The sequence below is a fragment of the Homo sapiens genome, chromosome 9, assembly GCF_000001405.40.
Source record: "Homo sapiens chromosome 9, GRCh38.p14 Primary Assembly".
NCBI classification, from domain to species: Eukaryota; Metazoa; Chordata; class Mammalia; order Primates; family Hominidae; genus Homo; species Homo sapiens.
In genome coordinates this window covers 76,967,852-76,973,172 of record NC_000009.12, presented here as the reverse complement: position 1 = coordinate 76,973,172, position 5,321 = coordinate 76,967,852, and the positions used below count along the sequence as shown (strand labels likewise).

General features: G+C 44.0%; 1 pseudogene; it reads right to left on the bottom strand.

Moving 5' to 3' along the window:
• Positions 1-1,947: 1,947 nt before the first annotated feature.
• On the bottom strand, positions 1,948-2,853 carry LYPLA2P3 (LYPLA2 pseudogene 3; annotated as a pseudogene).

The window sequence follows — 5,321 nt, the reverse complement described above, 5'->3', positions numbered from 1 at the left end:
TTATTATCATTTTTTTCAAGAAGAAGTCTTACTCTGTCACGTAGGTTGGAGTGCAGTGGCACAATCTTGGCTCACTGCAACCTCCACCTCCTGGGTTCAAGCGATTCTCCTGCCTCAGCCTCCCGAGTAGTTGGTATTACAGGAAACTGCCACCACACCTGGCTAATTTGTGTATTTTACTAGAGATGGGGTTTTGCCATGTTGGCCAGGCTGGTCTCGAACTCCTGACCTCAGGTGATCCGCCCACCTTGGCCTCCCAAAGTGCTGGGATTACAGGCATGAGCCACCAGCTCAGCCAAGAGTATTTCTGTAGGTGGTGGTGAGTATATGTACAACAAGTCATAGAATTCTTGGTTGTTTCTCTTTTGTTCTGTTAGCAGTCACTGATGATATTTTCCTACATCTCCTCCTTATTAGAATTTGTAAAATATTGATATTTTAATTTTTTCTTTTTTTTTATTAACTGGCATATTTTGAGAGAGAAACTTCCCCTTCCCAACTATTTGGTTACCCTGAGATATAGTTTATATAGAAAAGTCAGGATAAATGCTTACTTTGGGGGCCATAAATGGATGGATGGTTTTTCTAACTAACAAGATATTATTATATTTGCCTCAGATAGTGAATAGTATTTTAAGAAATTAAAAAATATTAAAATAAAGGTAAGAAAAGCCATTTTACACTAACCCAGGTGTTTGCTTTTTTGGGTGCCCCTAACTTCTTCTTACACCTCAGGGCTCCCCTCTGGGATAATTCAACTCCAGCCTTTGGAATTTCTTGTGATGCAGGGGCTTGCAATGAATTATTTAACCTTTTGTCTTTTTGAATATGTCTTTATTTTATCATAATTTCTGAAGGATCATCTAGTGGGATATAGAATTCTAGGTAGATAGTTTTTTTATTTCAACACTTTAATAATGTCATTCAGTTGCCTTTTTTTCCTGATGACAAGTCAGGCATCATTTGTTTCATTGATTCCTGCATATAATATGTCATTTTTCTCTGACTACTTTAAAGCTTATTTTCAGTATTGGTTTTTAGCTGTTTGACTACGGTACGGCTAGTTGTTTTTATTTTTAAATTTTTTTTTAACTTGCTGAGGTTTGCTGGTATTCCTATATTTATTCTGCCTGAAGTTGATGTATTTAATCAGTTTTGGAAAATCATTGGTTATTATGTCTTTAAATATTTCTAGTGTCTTTGTTTCATCTCTTTTTCTCTTCTTTTGGGACTCCAATAACACATGTGTTAGACTGTTTGATATTGTTCCTCAGATCTCAGATGTTCTATCCCACTTTCCCCCATTCTTTTTGTATTTCCTTTGGTATAGTTTTTTTGAGGAAATGATTTCTTTAATTTTATCAGAATTCAAGATACAACAAGAAAAACACCCCAAAACACATGGAGACAGAAGATGAGACACAACTCCTTCCCACTGCCTCCATGCTTAGAGTGGGACAAACTGGGGATGAGACAGCTGGGGGAGACCTGAACCTCAGTCAGCAGGCTCCAGAACTGTGCAGGAAGAGGGTAAGGGGGAGGCAGAGCCTAGCCCTACAGTGAGGGGAAACAGCTGAGGAAAGACCCCCTTGAAAGACTCCACCTCCTCACCAACACTCTTGCCCAGGGATGGGGAGCCCAAAGCAGCAAGGGGGCCCTGGGGCCATGGCCGTGTTTATGATTGAGAAGCAGCTGGAGTAAAGGGAGGAGAGACACATGATTATCTGGGCAGAATCAGTTGGGGCAGGGACCTGGAAGGGTCCCATGGGCCAAACCCTGAGGTCACAGGAGGAGACCCAAAGCAGGGCTAGTGAGTGAGGTCCTGAGTGAGTGGGTCAGCAGCTAGGGCCCTTTCTCCAGCTGCCTACAGCCCCTCCAATACTGCTGCCAGGGGGGCCTGCCTCCAGGGAAATGGGGTAAGAAAGCAGCCCACCCTTGCTGCAGATAGAGCTAAGTGGCTGAGGCCAGTAAGGAAGGGCTGGCCAGGCCTTGCCACCTGCCCCAGAGGTCTGTGGGAAGAGAACAGGTCAGGAAGGGTGGGGACAGGGGCTCAACAGGCTCAGATCCAAGATGGTGCCAAGGTTCCAGCTTGTTTGCTGGGTCCCCCATGAGGTAGGGACTGCACTGGGGACTAGAAACTCTAGTTAGATAGGAGACAGCAGCTTCTCAAGAAATTCCTTCACAGCTGCCATGTCCTAAGGACAAGAGCTGTGCATGACACCGGGATATGTCTCGAGCTGGACCCCAGCAGGTATGACAACAGAACGGAGCTTCTCGGCCATCAGGGCCCCAAACTATATGGGCAGCATGGGGATCAGCTTACCATGGCACTAAAGAATCGTCAGGTCCTTGGCACTGCTGTTGACTGCCTGGGGGAAGGCCCAGAGCAGAGGCAGCCAGAAGCTCAAAGCCACAATGCCAGCCAGAGGGCTGGGTGGAGGGGCAGAGCCCCACCCTGTGAAAAGCTACCCAGGACAATTTGATTGGCAGGGACCACATTCTTCATCTAGTGCTCAATCAAGTCCTTGACTTGGGGGAGGGGGCATGACTGGATGTGGGGAAGCTGCCAAGGGGCCCAGGAAGGGAGCCAGACAGGGGCACTGCCCAGTGCTTTCCTGGGGGGACAGGGAAGGGAGGAGGCCGAGGAGAGGCTGGGACCTTAAGTTCTCTACTGCCTTCTTGATGCCAGCCTCGTCCTCTGAGGCACCTGGACTCAGCCCCATTGGGTCAAACTAGGAGGGCATCACCGTCTTCATGTTCAGTGTCACAGGGATCCTAGGCACAAGGGGACAGATATGGATGTACTTGACATGAGGGAGCCGGATGGTGGACAGGGCTCAGCCCAGCTGTGCCTTTAGGAGGGATGGGAGAAGAAGCATCAATGGAGGAAGAGAGTAGTATAGTTTCTTTAGACCCGAATTCAGGTTTATAATTTCTTTCCTCAGCAGTGTCCAATCTGTTGTTAAGCTTGTACACTTAATTATTCATTACTGGTATAATTTTTACTTTCAGCATTTCCATTTATTTCTTTTTATACTTTCCATCTCTTTGCTGAAATCCTCATGTGCTCATGTGTTCTGTCCACATTGTCTATCAGAAGCTTTAACATGTTTATTTTAAAGTTCCTGTGTAATAATTCCTTTGTCTGGATCTGTTTCCAATGATGTTTTTTTTTCACTTAACCTCTCATATATCACATTTTCTTGTTGCTTCATGTGACTAATAATTTTTGATTGTGTGGTAGTCATTTTCCTTAAACAACAGTAGAGGTGGAGATAAAGAACATTTACTCCCATAAAAGGACACACTCCTTCTTCTCTCAGGCTCTGAGTAAGGCACACTAATTTGTCATTGATTTGGGTCTGGGCTTTGTTGCCATTTTAGTTTGATTCCATTCTCCACTGGCTTCAAATGTTTCGAGGGTAGAATCAGGACTTTCTTTTCAGTAAGAATTAGAGTCTGAACACTGGTGAATTTCCAGGGATCTCCTTTTGCTTTACAGATGAACTGTCTGAATTTTGAGCCCTGGGAGATCTCTCTTTGCTTTACAGCCTGGCTGTCTGCTTTTGGGGTCTTTGGGAAGTTCTCGTTGCTTTCCACTTGTGCCTGTAGGGGTCTATGCCTGGGGATATCTGGTTTGCTACCTTACTCACAGTCTTTGGAAGGCTGCTGCAGTTAACTCAAGAAGGCTGGGTTGCCTCAAAGGGATTTCTTACAGGTGTTCTGCCCCATCCCAGGCTGTGGAAGCCTCCCTAGCACTCAGTATGAGCCCATGTGCCTTAGCTATTTATTAACACAGAACACACATTTTCCCCCAATGTACTGTCTTCACTTAATATATCCTAGAGATCACTCTATATCCAGATACTTCTCAGTACTTTTTATGACTGCACAGTATCTCATTGCACAGCTCTAACAAGTTGTTCAGTCATTACTTTTAATGGAAAGTTTGATGTTTTCAGTCATTTGTTATCATAATAGTGCTGCAATAAATAGCATTTCATATTTTTTCCAGTCAGTCTTTGAGATAGATACCTAGAGGTCAATCGCTTCATCAGAGAGTAAGTGAATTTGTAGTTTTGGAGGATTTGTGTGAGAGGAGGGAGAGAAGACATTCCAGGCAAGGGGAACAGAGTAAACAAAGGTATTGAGGTGGAGACACGCCAGTTTGTTCAGGGCATTAAGAGACAACTGGTCTGGTTAGTATGAGGTATACAGAGGGCAGGAAGCTGGGTGATGGCATCAATACCCATGATACTGATAGTTGCTGTGTGCAAGTGGGCTTGACTGCTAAGGCAACATCTTTGTACTTCTGTCCTGTTGGTACTAGGAAAACACTGCCTGATTTTGACAAAGAAAATGACATGCTCCAAATGACATTTTAGAGAGATGAATATTGCCAAGTTGTGCATGATAATTGGAGAACTGTCTTGAGCCATGGAAACTGACTAAGTGATTAATGGAATATTCCATTCATATGGATGTTCAGAGCTACTAATGGGACAAACAGAGAAAATGGTCCCAAATCTCTGAGGAATTCTTCCCCTCTGTAAGCTGTTCATGATCATGCTTCCTTCTCCTAGGAGCTTCTGGCACTTACGTGCACAATTTTTTCCTTCATGAGTGATTGTGTGTGACTTACGAAGGAAAAAAGAGCAATGTGTCATATGCTACCATAGGGAGAAATGTTACTCAGAGGTAATTGGAATACTAAGGCAGAATTCAATATAGTATATGGCTCTCATCGGTATGAAGAGAAGAAGAAATTCTTCCTGGAATTCGTCTTCTGTTAGGACTTCATTCATTAGGGTTAAAGTGATCTTTAACTTTTGAGGGGTTAAAGATGTGTATCGGCGATGACAAATGAGGGTGTGCTGTAGGAACAAATAGCCGTATGATCTCCTTGGAATAAAACATCAAAGCTTTTTTTTTTCCTCACACTACATGTCCATTTTGGATTGGCAGGAGGGACCGGCCGATTTGCAGAGCCTCAGGGGCCTGAGCTAATGGAGTTGCTGCCATTTTGACCATTGCCAACCATGATACCAGAGGGAAATGAAATGTGGTAAGCTTTGTCTCTTAAGGTTTCTGTCCAAAAGTGCCCAAAGTCACTCTCACATTTCAGTGCCCCAAGTCACATGGATGTATTTGCTTCTAGAGGTGGGACAGTGCCATCTGCTTATGGGCCAGGAAGAGAGAAAAGCAAAAGATGTGTGATCACCCTGAGGACTGGCAGAGAATTACTCTAATAATCTTATAAAAGCTGTGGACTCTCCCTCCCACAATATGCACAGATGTACACATTCCTGGTACAATTTCAT